Source organism: Homo sapiens, chromosome 4 (assembly GCF_000001405.40).
Source record: "Homo sapiens chromosome 4, GRCh38.p14 Primary Assembly".
NCBI lineage: Eukaryota > Metazoa > Chordata > Mammalia > Primates > Hominidae > Homo > Homo sapiens.
The window spans coordinates 183,387,123-183,401,460 of record NC_000004.12 but is presented as its reverse complement, the minus strand read 5'-3'; the positions used below and the strand labels follow the sequence as shown (position 1 = coordinate 183,401,460).

Here is a 14,338-nt window from a genome sequence, read left to right as displayed (position 1 = left end):
ACTCAGATGCGATTCTCAGTGCAGGATCAATTGGCACAAACACTTAGGAAGGCAATTTGGCAATGTGTATTCAAAGAGGTATGGCCTTTGAGCCAATCATTCCACACAAGTGGATTTATCTTTATTTTATTTATTTTATTTTATTTTTTGAGACAGGATCTCACCCTGTTGCCCAGGCTGGAGTGCAGTGGCATGATCTCACCTCACTGTGACCTCTGCCTCCCGGGTTCAAGCGATTTTCCTGCCTCAGCATCCCAAGTAGCTGGGACTACAGGTGCCTGCCACCGTGCCTGGCTAATTTTTGTATTTTTAGTAGAGACGGGGTTTCATTATGTTGACCAGGCTGGTCTTGAACTCCTGACCTCATGATCAGCCCACCTCGGCCTCCCAAAGTGCTGGGATTACAGGCTTGAGCTACTGCGCCCGGCCGCATTTATCTTTAATGTCTGAATTAACGGAGGGGCCAAGCAGGGAGGTCACCTGCATGGAAGGGAAGACCCACAGGGAATGTACAGCCAACAACGTCGAGGTAGGTGTACATGTGGGGGCGGGGTAGAGAGGACACAGTAGGGTGGCAGAATCTACATGGTTAGAGGGGGCATCTGTGTAGGGGCAGTGGAGGCAGCAGCCAGAGAAGGGTACCCAAGTCCAAGCAGTAGGATAGTGGGGCAGAGGGAATGGGAGACTGGATACATGGAGGGGGAGGACTCCGTAACTAAATATATTGAGAGTGACGGGAGCCGAGTTTCTCACTACTAGAGAGAACAGTTATAATTATGGAAAACAAGAAAACTAGATTGAAGTCTCCGGTGCAGAACTGAAAATGGGGCAATTGATGTGAACTCACAGTTGCAAACGTTACAGGTGAAAAACGCCCTCCTGGCCGGTCACGGTGGCTCACGCCTGTAATCCCAGCACTTTGCGAGGCCAAGGTGGGTGGATCACTTGAGGCCAGGAGTTCGAGACCAGCCTGGCCAACATGAGGAAATCGCATCTCTACTAAAAATACACACATTTGCCTAGAGTGGTGGCACATGCCTGTAATCTCAGCTGCTTGGGAGGTTGAGGCACGAGAATCGCTTGAACCTGGGAGGTGGAGGTTGCAGTGAGCCAAGATTGTGCCATTGGGCAAAAGAGTGAGAATCCGTCTGGAAGGAAGGAAGGAAGGAAGGAAGGAAGGAAGGAAGGAAGGAAGGAAGGAAATTGAGCACCTTTTCAATTTGCTTATCCTCCATTTTTAGTTCCTTCTCTGAAATGTGTGTTTACATCTTTTGTCATTAAGAGTTTTGGGGATATTAGTAAACTTAGCCATTCATTCCTAATAAGTATCATGAATATTTTCCCAGTTCTTCAGTTTTGGTTTGGTTTTGTTTTTTTGGAGACGGAGTCTCAGTCTGTTGCCCAGGCTGGAATGCAGTTGCACGATCTCGGCTCACTGCAGCCTCTGTCTCCTGGGCTCAGGCCATCCTCCTGTCTCCAGAGTAGCTGGGAATACAGATGTGCACCATCGTGCCTGAGTAATTTTTGTTGTTGTTGTTTAGTAGAGACGAGGACTTGCTATGTTACCCAAACTGGTCTCCAATTCCTGGGCTCAAGCAATCCTCTGTGCTGTACCGCGAGTACTTCCTCTTTTATTTTTTTTAAATAAATAGAGACGGGATCGCACTGTGTTGTCCGGGCTGGTCTTGAATTCCTGGCCTCAGGCGATCCTTTGGGAGGCCGCTGTGGCCTCTCAAAGTGCTAGGATTACAGGCCCGAGCCACCATGCCGGGCCCCAGTTCTTCAGTGGTATATTATTTTATAGCCAACCTAGGTTTAAAATTTTGTATTTGGTCGGGCTTTTCCATTTTTTCCCCTGATGTTTTCTGGGTTTTGTATCGTGCTTACAAACAGCTTTGCCTTCTCATTACTCTACATTGATGCACCCGTATTTTTGTCACGGTTTCTTATTCTCGTGCGCGTGCACAGTGTTCGATGCATTTGGGTGCTGCGTGGAAGGCGTGCCCTGCTCAGCGACAGAGCCTGGGCGCGGGCTTCCTCCAGCACAGGGGGCGAGGGGCTTGCCCTGGAGTCACTTAGCCACCGCCTGAGCTTGGGCCACTTCCTCCACCACTTCTATCTGCATTTCCTCATCTGTTAGATGGGCTAACAGTAGAACCCACCTCAGAGGAGACTCTAGAGGTCATCGTGGTGATCCGCACCAGCTTAGAGCTGAGCCTGGCCCAGAGTACATGCTGAATCTAAACGCTCAGTGTTATGTTGTGTTGTGTTGTGTTGTGTTGTGTTGTGTTGTGTTGTGTTGTGATGTGGTGTTGTGATGTTATGTTATGTTATGTTATGTTATGTTATGTTATGTTATGTTATGTTATGTTATGTTATGTTATGTGTTATCATGCACCATGATAGGTTTGAATCCGGGGGCCAGCGTCCCCGGTCCCGGCGCCTGGCAGCGGGAGGTTCTGGATGGAGCCGCAGCAGGGTTGCCCCGCGGGCTGAGAAGCCCTCCTAGCTCTGCCCGCGGCCGCGGCGGACCCGGGAGACGCCGGACCTGTGGCGGGGTGAGCGGGGGCGGGTTCACCGCAGGCGGGGCGAGGCTCGCTGCCATCGCTAGGAGGCTCTGTTGCCGCTAGGACCTTGCGATCTCCGACTTCGGGGCTTGCGGGCTGGTTCTCAGAATGCAGTCTCTCCCGGGCCCGGCGGCCTCTTCAGCACCGCGGTCCCAGTGGGCTCGGCGTGCTTTTTAAATAAAGGAAATTAAACACACACGCTCTCTCTCTCACACACACACAGAGTGCTTAAATAATTAACAAATCGAGGCTTAAGGACAGACATTTCCTGGCTTTGGCTGGGTGGAAGCCAGCCACTAAGGCGGGGGCTGGTGAGCTGCCGCCCCGGGAGGAGCTAGGGGCGCACGCCACGTGCGGGTGCTCGGGCCTGCACCCCTGCTCGGGAGACCTGGAGCGGAGCGAGCGCCCGGGCTGCCCAGGACCTGGCCGTCTGGCACTTCCTCCGAGTTTAGGGTGCGCTGAGTCAGCTGCGGGGGCCAGCGGGGGCCAGTTAGGGGTCTGCAAACCAGCAGTTCTCGGCCTGTCCTCTTTTGCTGACACTCGCAGCCTCTGCCCACGTGGTCACTGTTGCCCCAAGGTTTCTGCTGTGCCGGCCAGCACTTCCTCTTTTTCTTTCTTTCTTTCTTTTTTTTTAATTTAAATTTTGCCTTTTTGAAAAAAAGAGAGACAGGGTCTCGCTATGTTGGCCAGGCTGGTCTCAAACTCCTGGCCTCAAGTAATCCTCCCACCTGAAGCACTTGGTTTGTTGCAGCGACTGATCGCCTCTCTTCCTCTTCCCCACTTGGTTCGGATGGTAAAGTGCATCCTCCCGAGGCAGCCTGGGCTGGAAGGCTCTCCTTCAGGGGGCCCTGCCCTAATTACCCTAACTACCCTCATGTCTCACGCCTCTCTGGTCCCCGTGGCTGCCAAGCCCCCTCGGAGAACCCAAGGGCGCCTGCAAGTTCTGCCTCCTCCAGAGCCTTCACAGCGGCCTGGGGTCCCCCTCTCCCCTCTTTACTGAGCAGCAAACTTCTCTGCTCTTTCCTGAACGCCCCAGTCTAACATGCTTGGCTCTGAGCCTGCTCTTCATTTCAGTGTCCACTAAGCAGACACACCTATATGTTATGGCTGGAAACAGGCCGCATGTCTTTATTAGAGGGCAGGAGGCGGTCGTTCCTGTCTTCTTTATTAGGTTGTATATGCCCATCTCCATCGCGCCCAGAGCATCCTGCCCCGCTGAATCTTTCTAGTCGACTCTTCTCTCAAAACTCTGTGGCTAAATTCTCTTTAAAACCTGTCCTTGTCCCAGCTACTGGGAAGGCTGAGGCAGGAGATTCACTTGAACTCGGGAGGCAGAGGTTGCAGTGAGCCGAGATGGCGCCACTGCACTCCAGCCTGGCGACAGAGCGAGACTCCGTCTCAAAAAAAAAAAACCCAACAACAACAACAACAACAAAACCTGTCCTTATGCCCTCAGATAGGGTTTCTCACTCTTGCTTCTCTGCACATCCTCTGAGGCCTGTACATTCTATTACTATTATTATACTAAATTGGTAGTTATTGAGTTACTTGTCTGTTCCATTTCCTAGACTCTAAGATCCCACATCTTATTTATTTTATGATCTTAGTAAGATATCTCACTATATGGATCTTTGTATCTCCAGGACCAAATACAGTGCCTGACCTTGGGGTCTCTCTTTTCTTTACATTTAGAATCTTCCTTCCACTTCTTATACCGTACGCCTCCCCTGCCTCACTCATTCTGTTTCTAGATGTCTGGTCATGGGAAAGCCGAGCTTCTTAGGGACTGCCATGGGGAGTGTGAGACTGCAGGGATTCTCCAGCTGTTTGTGTGAGTGTTTGTTTCAAGGGCACAGCACCTAATTGATCATAGGGATCTTGTCCAGCTGTTGAACACGTCTAGAAAAACAAATTAAGGCAGAGCAGACCAGAAGTGCATTCCATCGTCAGCCCCCAGAATAGGTGTAGCACCTGTCATAAATCCCAACATGGCTCCCGGCACTTCCAGATAGTGGCTGTCCTTGTCTCTGTGCATGGGAGTTTCTGTAGCAGGAGAAAGGCATGGCTGGGTGGGAGAACGGGGTGGCATAGTTTCCTCAGACCAATTTTAACATTAGCCTAAGGAAAATATTGTAAATAACTAAGAAGGTGGGATAATGCATTTCAGAACCAAACCAAAACGATTATCTTAATTAATCAAGAAGAATTGTCTGTATGATAGATATGATGAAACCAGTCCAGGAGGAGGAAAGAACTAACTGATCTGGAGGAAGAAAGTTAGGACACAGAAAGTGGAAACAGAAACAGGAAGGAAGTGGGAAGTGTCAGCTTCTTCAATCTGAAGCAATTTACCCAGAACAAATTTAACCTGTGCTTCAAGGAACTTTCAGTGCCAAAGTGGATTTAACTACTTGTTTACAGGTTACCTATGACTTGTCCTTTGAAACCCATCTTCTCATAGGTCTGTGATATGGCATCATGAAAAACCCTCAATCAAGACACTGTGCTAGCCTGCCCATGCAGCTAGCCTGACTCAGAAGGTACTAGAACATTCTATACTTCCTCTATGTGTCATCACAGTTTCCAGTGATAGTTCTCATTTAGATAAAAATCTCCACTTTAAGCTATCAATGTTATTTTCTTAAATACATTTGTATCTTCAAATTCAACATTTTATGAGAATTTTCCTTTTGCTATGAAACTCAAATAGCATTCAAAATAACTGAAAACAGGCCGGGCGCACTGGCTCACACCTGTAATCCCAGCACTTTGGGAGGCTGAGCGGGGATGGATCACTTGAGGTCAGGAGTTTGAGACCAGCCTGGCCAACATGGTGAAACTCCATCTCTACTAAAAATACAAAAAAAGTAGCTGGGTGCTTGCAATCCCAGCTACTCGGGAGGCTGGGGCAGGAAAATTGCTTGAACCTGGGAGGTGGAGGTTGCAGTGAGCCGAAATCGCACTACTGCACTCCAGCCTGGGCGACAGAGTGAGACTCCGTCTCCAAAAAATAAAAGAAAATAAGTAAAAACAAACAAAACAAAATCAAACACCTGCCCCTTACTACAGAGCTTGCTACCTGGGAACTCATAAAATATGTTACCAGACTAGAGATGTGTTTGTTTGTTTGTACCATGTTTTGTTTTGATTTTTGCATGGATTTCCAAATTAAAAATTTTGGACATTTCTCATAAACATCAGGATGTCTGACTTCTCTTGAAAAATCGGAAGATCTTGCGTCACTGCACCCCCAGCCTGAATGGCAAAAATTGGCAGGTGCGGGCTGAGTGGCTGCTGCCCCCCGAAGCTTATCTTCAGTTTACAGGCTCTACTGGTCCTGTTGCCTATACTGCCTGTTCATTCATTTATGTAACTGGCCTGTTGCTTATCGTTGGGAGATTTTATTCAGCCAGTAATTCTCTAGCTATTTTTTTTGCCAGGTAAAAATATCCTTATGTAAATGCTTTATTTAATTGTGGATTATAAAAGAGAACATGGGTTAAGGAAAAACAAAGGTGAAACCAGGTGCTGCTACAGTTAAAATTAAATCTCTAACAGGATCTCCTTTTCAAAGCTGCATGCCTATTAATTTGCATACTCATGCTATATACATGTTCTCTCTCCTATGTTTCACCACTGTATTAATGTACTGGAATATGAATTTTTGATGAACTATAATATTCCTACATGCAAATCTGGAGGGTCGAAGTTAGGAAAAGGAACTTTCAAATTTGAAAATAAAAATTTGAGCATCGTCTATGCTTTTGAAAATTCCATCTTTATGGCCAAGAGCTATGTTTGTATTGTTGTATTGAAATATATCTTGGTTTTGTGAACGAGGACAGCATTAGAGTTCCACTATGGAATTCTCCATGTGGCACTTTCTCCTTCCTAAGGTGCTTTGTAAGGGAGCAGGGAGAATAAAGACATTTTGAAAGTCTTAGTTATTCACGGCCTTGCTCCCAAGCCAAGAATCCAAGAGACCCTGAAATTTCACATCAGCCACTTGGAATACGAACCCTAAATCTCCCTCTTACCTTGGAGAACAGTAGTTTTGCTATCTTGTACCACTGCCAAGGCAGGACTGAGCCACGTTGAAATACAACCCCAGGATTGTAGCATTTCCCCGGGGGGATACCTGAAGAAGCCCAGGCAGAAGAATAAACATGTTATAGGGTAGGGCTTGTTTTAGACAAGATCAGGGGAGGAATGCTAGCAAGATTTCTTAGTTTTCATTAATTATTTGGGGGTTCAAGGAGACCTTTTTTCCGGTCTTTTTCCATTGCTTCGCATTGGCTCAAGAGACAGGCCAGGTAGGAGTTTATTAGGACTTGGTGAACCATACCAGGTGAGCTCATGAAGCGTCAGCGGGAAGTCCTGCAATGCAGTGCGTTTGGATGTCACAAATAAAGACCCACAACATGTCCATAAGAACAACGAGAAGTGAGAGTTTCCTGATCCTGAGTTCTCCCCAGCCTTGCGCCCCCGGAGTCGGCTCAGAGGAGAGATTGACTGCCATGAGGGTGAGGGCAGTTGCTGTAAACCTTTGACGCAGGGCCAGTCCTGCACCGAGGCAGCTCTCCCGCTGGCCTGTGGGGAGTGGGTTTTTCCTCCAGTCCCAGCACAGCTGCCCCTCGGTAGACCCGGCTCTGGGCCACCTTGAAAGGAGAGCCATAATTACGGCTGTTTATTGAGAGCTGCCTCTCTGCCCAGGTGCTGTCCTGAGGACTTTGGTCCTCACCCCTAAGAGAGGGGTACTACTTTAATTGACAATCCATAGGTGAGGAAACAGAGGCACAGAGAGGGTAAGTGACCTGCCCAAGGTCATGCAGGTCTTACATGGAGGAGCCGGGATCCCAAACCATTCCAGGGAGCCTGGAATCCCAGATGGGTGGCAGGGATGGCAAGGCCTGGCTGAAGAGTATGGACAGGGAAGCCAGTGTTGGCAAAGGTCTGATGCAGTGAATAGGAGGGAGCTGGGCTTCCAAATGGGAGCTGGGCAGTTGATACAGGATCTAGGTTCCGATTGCAGAATTAAGGCCAGACTTGGGGAAGCACCACACAGGGGTTGATTATGTGCTCAGTTTTTCTCTTAGGTGAATTGTCTGCTCATATGCTCTGTCCATTTTCTTGCTGGGGTTTGCTGCCCCTCTTAACAACTTGTCCACTGTCTACTCCCTCAGGGCAGGTGCTTTTGCCTATATTGTCTGCTGTTGCACACCCAGCACATAGCAAGTACCTGGCATATAGTAGGTGCTCAAGAAATATTTGCCGAGGCCAGGCACAGTGGCTCACGCCTGTGATCCCAGCACTTTTGGAGGCCAAGGCAGGCGGATCAGGAGGTCAGGAGTTTGAGACCGACCTGGCCAGCATGGTGAAACCCCTTCTCCACTAAAAATACAAAAAATTAGCTCGGCATGGTGGCACTTGCCTGTAGTCCCAGTTACTCGGGAGGCTGAGGCAGGAGAATTGCTTGAACCTGGCAGGCGGAGGTTGCAGTGAGCCGAGATCACGCCACTGCCACTGCACTCCAACCTGGGTGACAGAGCGAGACTCTGTCTCAAAAAAAAAAAAAAAAAAAAAAAAGGAAAAAAAGAAATATTTGCCAAATGAAAGAAGAAACATTAACTCCTTGTCTGTCATTTTCTAGCTTATTGTGTTTTAAATTATTTTTTATGTGCCTACGTTTTACATTTTTATGTGGTCAAATTATCTTTTTCTTTGTACTTTCAATGTTTTCAAAGTTCTTTCCCAGCCATAGGTCATATAAGTATTTAGCTATTTTTTCCCCCTAGTTTTCTTATTGTGACCTTTTTTTTTTTTTACATTTACTGCCTTACTTTACCTGGAAAAAAATGGGCCTTCAATTTTTTTTGTATCACTATTTATTTAATAATTCACCCTTCCTTCCATTGGTTTGTCTGTTCACTCTTGTGCAAGTATCACATCCTATGTGTGCACATGTGTTTAATATATAATATGTATTTAAATATGTTTCAGTACACATCTGCCCTCATTTACAAAATTGGATTTGTTATTATGTGTTCCGACTCTAGAATTCAACCTAAAATATCAATTTAGGAATCATTATTATTTTACAATATTCACCTGAAGACAAGACTAGTAAATTGGTCAAATTTTTGACCGATTTTCTTGGGTTTCCCAGGTAGACTGCAAATAATGACAGATGTGCTGCTTGCTTTCCAAGGGTTCTAAAGCCCAGATCTGTCAGATCAAAAGCCTGTGCTCCTAACCACCACACAGAATTGCACTCTGGCGTGTGGTCTGGACCTAGAAGTGTTGTAACTGTGTGATCCTGGGGAAGTCACTTCCTGTTTTGAAAATGACAGAGTTTCATCAGTTTCTCTGACATGAATGATTGAAAAATGAACTTGGATACTCAGTGTAGCCCAGACTTACCTGATTCTGGGATTATCCCTAGAACCCAGCATCTCTTCCAAAGTCATATGCATCCGTGCAATATGGGAGGATGTGAAACTAAAAGGTGCTAGAGATGGTGCTGGCTGCACTCGCGTGTATGGACCCACACCTAGTTCCCCAACTTTTGAGCTGCATGAGGACCCAGTCATACCTCAAAGATACAACTGAGAGCCAACTTACTGAATCCTGTGTTCTCTGCTTCAAGCCCTGCAATCCCAGTTATACAGGTGATCTCTTCTTGTTATGATCTTTTTTAGGATTTGACTTTTGAAGCCTTATTTATTTATTTCTATTTAAAATCCCAGCCTCTTAAAAATACCCCAGATGTTGGCTTGTTCCCACACACCCCACATCTTGTGAGGTGCTCTCCATCTTACAGACAGAGAACACCAAGATAGAGAGAGGCTGGGCGTCCTGCGCCAGCCAAAGCTGTAACTAAGTGGGACTAGAAGGCAGGAGTCTTGACCGAGAATCAAGTGGCCAACCATGGAGCGCTGCTCTTCCCAGCTGCCATCATGGTGTAGCCTGGAGAAGTAACGGTGGGATAAGAGTGTAGTGTGCACATGCAAGTATGATTGGATACGAGTCCCCTCCTATCAATGCCTACGTTACAGAGAAAAGGAAGTGCAAGGTTGCTGACTGTCCAATAGCCAACTATGAGCAGGAAAGCCAGGTCAATCTGCAAAGGAAAACAATTACTTCAACAGTTAAGAGTTCAATAGATGACACTAATGTCACAGGCGGGACTAGCTGGGGCCAGTGGCAAGGGTGGTGAAGGAATTTACCAAGACCGTTGTAGGTAAAGAAAGGCAGATTTATTAGAGAAAGTATGAAAATATGTTGCAAGAAAGCAACAGGCAGCACGGCAGAGAAGGGGCTGCCTGCAAAGAGGCAGAGGCTGGAGGGAAGTTTTATAGGGTCGCACTGGAGGGGCTACCTGCAGAAAGAGGTCGTTGTGCCCATAGAAAGAGATCATTGTACCCAGGAGTTGTGATTAGCTGTTTCTTAGAACAATTGTTCATTGTTCTTCCCCAGCTAGGGTGCTTCTCCACCTGGGGTCCCTTCCTCTTTGTTGCTTACTTATCTTATCAGGACTCCACAACTAATTCCCCTCCAGTAAAGCCAAATCCACAGCCATTACTGCCAACCCTCATGACAAATGCAAACTGTTGACAATCAGATTGACAACAGTAAGCACTGATTATTAATGCTCTTGGAAGGGGGAGGTATAGAGTGTAACACTGTTTACACTCTATCCACCACAATTTATCTACTAACGAGAAAGAGGAAAATGATTTGTACTACTAAATTAGAAAAGACAAAGAAAAAGAAAGGAAGGAAGGGAAGGAAGGAGGAAGGAAGAAAGAGATGGAGGGAGACAGAAGAACAGGGATTAAATTGTAGTTTGATCTGGCAAATTTAGTGAGGAAATGAAGTGAACAAGATTAGATTTAACACAGATAGTCCCTGATTTACTATGGTTTGACTTACGAGTTTCAGCTTTACAGTGGTGCAAAAGCAATACGCATTCAGTAGCTCCTCCACTTACCATGAGATTACATCCAGGTAAACCCATGGTAAGTTGGAAATATTTTATATAAAAAATGCACTTTTGATTTAGCATAATGTAATCCTAGCATAAGTGTATAGGTTAATGTAAGGTAATGCACCTGGGGAGAAATAATATTCCACAGATATCTAACAGGGAAGGCTGCTGTTTAAGAAACAGCAATGTAGTTTCCTCCTTCTTTCGAAGAAGGAGTAATAGTGAGTAATTACTTAGGGTACATATGAGCCCATAACATCACCACTGCGAAAAAGGACTGATGCTGTCTTAGGCTGTATGTACAAAAGGATCTCTTAGAAAATAGAAGTGGTAATAAGTGATAAAGGAAACCCCTGAGGCCAGGCGTGATGGCTCACACTTGTAATCCAAACACTTTGAGAAGCCAAGGTGGGAGGATCACTTGAGCCCAGGAATTTGAGGCCAGCCTAGGCAACATAAGGAAACTCGCTCTCTACAAAAAAATTTAAAATTAGCCACTGTCATGATGCATGCTTGCAGTTCCAGCTATTCGAGAGGCTGAGGCAGGAGGATCACTTGAGCCAGGAGGTTGAGGCTGGAGTAAGCCAGGATGGCACCACTGTAGTCCAGCATGGGTGACAGAGTGAGACCCTGTCTCAAAATTATTAATTAATTAATTAAAAAAGAAATTGTGCCTTAATTGTTCTTGTGAGTGAACGAAGACGGCTCACCTTCCCGAAGGCGTCAGTGGCTTCCTCAGAGCCAGATGCCGCTCTCCAAGGCCACGCTTCAGTCTGGTTCCAAAGAGCATTGCTGCAAGTGGGTTGGAACGCTGGTGCCTTACCCCACATGCCCTGCCCCCTCTTGCAGATTCAGGCTTGCTCGTCCACATTCTGCTTCTGCTGGGTGTCATTCTCCTTTCCGTCCCTGCTACTCTCTCAGAATGCCTGCCCCGGGTTGGCCACAGCTTGTTCCACTTCTTTTTTTTTTTTTTTTGAGACAGAGTCTTGCTCTGTCACCCAGGCTGGTTCAGCGGTGCGATCTTGGCTCACTGCAAGCTCCACCTCCCAGGTCGAAGTGATTCTCCTGCCTCAGCCTCCCGAGGAGCTGGGACTACAGGCGCCCATCACAGCATTCCGCTAATTTTTTTTTTTTTTTTTTTTTTTTTTTAGTAGAGACCAGGTTTTACCATGTGGGCCAGGCTGGTCTCGAACCCCTGACGTCAGGTGATCTGCCCACCGTGGCCTCCCAAAGTGCTGGGATTACAGGCATGAGCCACCGCGCCCGACCTGTTCCACTGCTTTCTGTGGTTTCAGGCTGCCCCTCACTGGCCTCTTGCTGCAAATCTGCGGGCAGCTCGGCCATAACACAGACCATCGTGGGAAGCTTGGGGCTCAGGTGGCTATGGGGTCTCCGATGAACATTTTACTACAGGGCGCTAGTCCGTTTATACTTCATGTTCCTTGTTTCCTTTTTTTAATTGGTCGCAATTATTAAGAAACATTACCCTGAAAGACACACTGTGATGTGACTGTTGAGTTGAAAACAAGGACCAAATAATATTCTAAACTGAGAATCTTGCTTAACTTCTTCCAAAAGAGGTAACTCAGCCATAACAGTGAAAAATATGATCTTCTGGACTTGTTAGCAGAACAGACCACTGAGGCTTACTCTCTGATGCCTGAAGCAGTCAGGCTCCTGGAGAGTTTGGGCTAACCTGGCCCTCACCCCTCCAAACGTCATTCCCCTTCCAAAAGAGGATTTCTCAAACTCTGGGAGAGGAAAATCGCCAGAGGACTCCTCAATCCTCTGAATATTTTCATAGCTTTTACTCTGTCAGCTTTCAACAGGAGTTCTACAGGCATTTTGCGTGGGAAAGTTCTCGGTTGTGAAGGACTGTCTGGCACATTGTCGAACATCAGCATCCCTGTACTGCACACAGTAAATGCCAGTTTGTAGCCTAAGGCAGATAACAAATGCTGCCATACATTTCCAGGCACTCCCTGAGAGGAAGGTGCTGCTTATGGTTGGAAACCATTGGCGGTGCCTGGGGCCAGAGTGTGAGAGCAAACTCTCCCACGCCTTTGTGAAGCTCAGGGCTTTGGAGACAGCCTCCACCTATTTGAGGGTCCCTTCTATGATTATTGAGTTGTGGTGTATAAGCTTCCAGCGAAATGGCTAGGCTAAATACACACTCTGTAAATATTTGCTAATTAATTGTCATGTCTTGCTTATTATTATATGCTCATCGAGACCAGAAATTTCACATCCTCTATGTTGTGAAAAGCCCTAGGAAGACTTAATGCAATGCCATGCTACTGGGAAGCACTCAGGAAATATTAATTGCTATTGATGAAAGGAGCGACTACTTTAATTCAGATGCAAACAATCAAAAAGGGCTAACTCCCCTTGGCTCTGTGCCTTGACTGCATTTGGAGAGACTGATTAATATAGGCCTGCAGCTAACTAATTGTCTCTCCATCTCTGTCATGTTACCTGAACTTGGGTGCATTCAGGTCACCCAGCAGTTGTGTGGGTGGGTGAGAACATTTCTCGAGCTGTAGCCAGAGAGCCAGACGATCTGCAGCAGCGCTAGACTTGTAAGAATGGAAAACTTCGTAAATATCCCAAAGTAGTAGAGAAGAACCAGGCCAGGTCAGGCCAGGTCAGGCCAGGCCAAAAGATAGGGGCATCCCGAGAGGCTGGGGGGCCACAGGGTGAGGTATGTGTTGCAAATCCCAGAACCTGGGCATTAGTTAGAGCCAGGAAAGGAGTTGGAATAGGGTTGGGGCCAGTGGGATGCATCCCTTTCCCAGCCGCCAGACTCCTTGGAGCTCTAGTTCCACCTGAAAATTTGATCATTGTCTTGCTGCGTGCAGGCAGGATAAGATCCATGAAGAGCAGCAAGGATCCAAATTTCCATCATTCTCAGGAAGTCAGAATCCGGGGTCTGACTCCTTGCCCGTAGGTAAGGCATGGCAGGTTTATTTCCCAGGATGATCTCTGAAGTATCAGGAAAAAAGTCCAGTGCAGGACTAAAGCTTTAAAGAGAGTGAAAGCCACTGCCAGTTTTAAAACAAAAAAGAAACTGATTGTCATGAGCAGTCACGGGTTTATGGGTTTATTGATTTCTGCTGAAGATCTGGGTGACCTGGGTTCATTTGCAGATTTGAAGACGATACTCTCATTTTGTCCTACTTTTATACAAGAGATAATAACATTTGCAAATGGCTTTGACTCACCTGATCTGAATATCCTCAAATATCTGGCAAGATGAAATCATGCCTTTTTCATCTAAAGAAAAAGTAGAGGGAGTGAAGGATTGTGTTTTAAGTACAGAGTTTACCTAAAAACCAATCACCTCCCCTTCAACTTATTTCCCCCAGGTCCAAATGGCAATTCCTTTTTAATTAGCCTGGGGTGTTAAAGAAGGCTGTATTTTCTTCTTCTTTCCCAGGTGGTCAGGATTCAGTGCAGTAAATTTTGGCCGTTCCCCCGTCCTGGAGCAGAGTGACAAGAACCCAAGACAGGAGATTCGAATGACTTTGCTAGAGGTCACTTTGGGGAAAATGTTTCAAAGGCAACCCTCCCAGCAGTGAAAGCTAACGCTAGTCTTCTGTGCAACAGGTAGGCGTGGGAATATGCGAATGTGTGTGGCATGCGAATTCTTGGGAAATGACATGTCAAGGAGACCTTGTCACTACATGGAGTAGAATGAGGGTACCTGCCCCCAGAGGACTGTCCCTACTTTCTATCCCCTTAAGCCAGTAGGTTCTCTAGGTCGCCTCCTGAGAGTGTCACCAAG

At 46.7% G+C, this 14,338-nt stretch overlaps 1 annotated feature.

Annotated features, from left to right (window-relative positions):
• Positions 2,717-3,508: an enhancer, noted in NCBI's record as "H3K27ac-H3K4me1 hESC enhancer chr4:184319106-184319897 (GRCh37/hg19 assembly coordinates)". NCBI's record gives its function as "activates a minimal SCP1, AML or CMV promoter by ChIP-STARR-seq in naive H9 embryonic stem cells {active_cell/tissue: H9 hESC(naive)}" and the evidence as "EXISTENCE:reporter gene assay evidence [ECO:0000049][PMID:30033119]".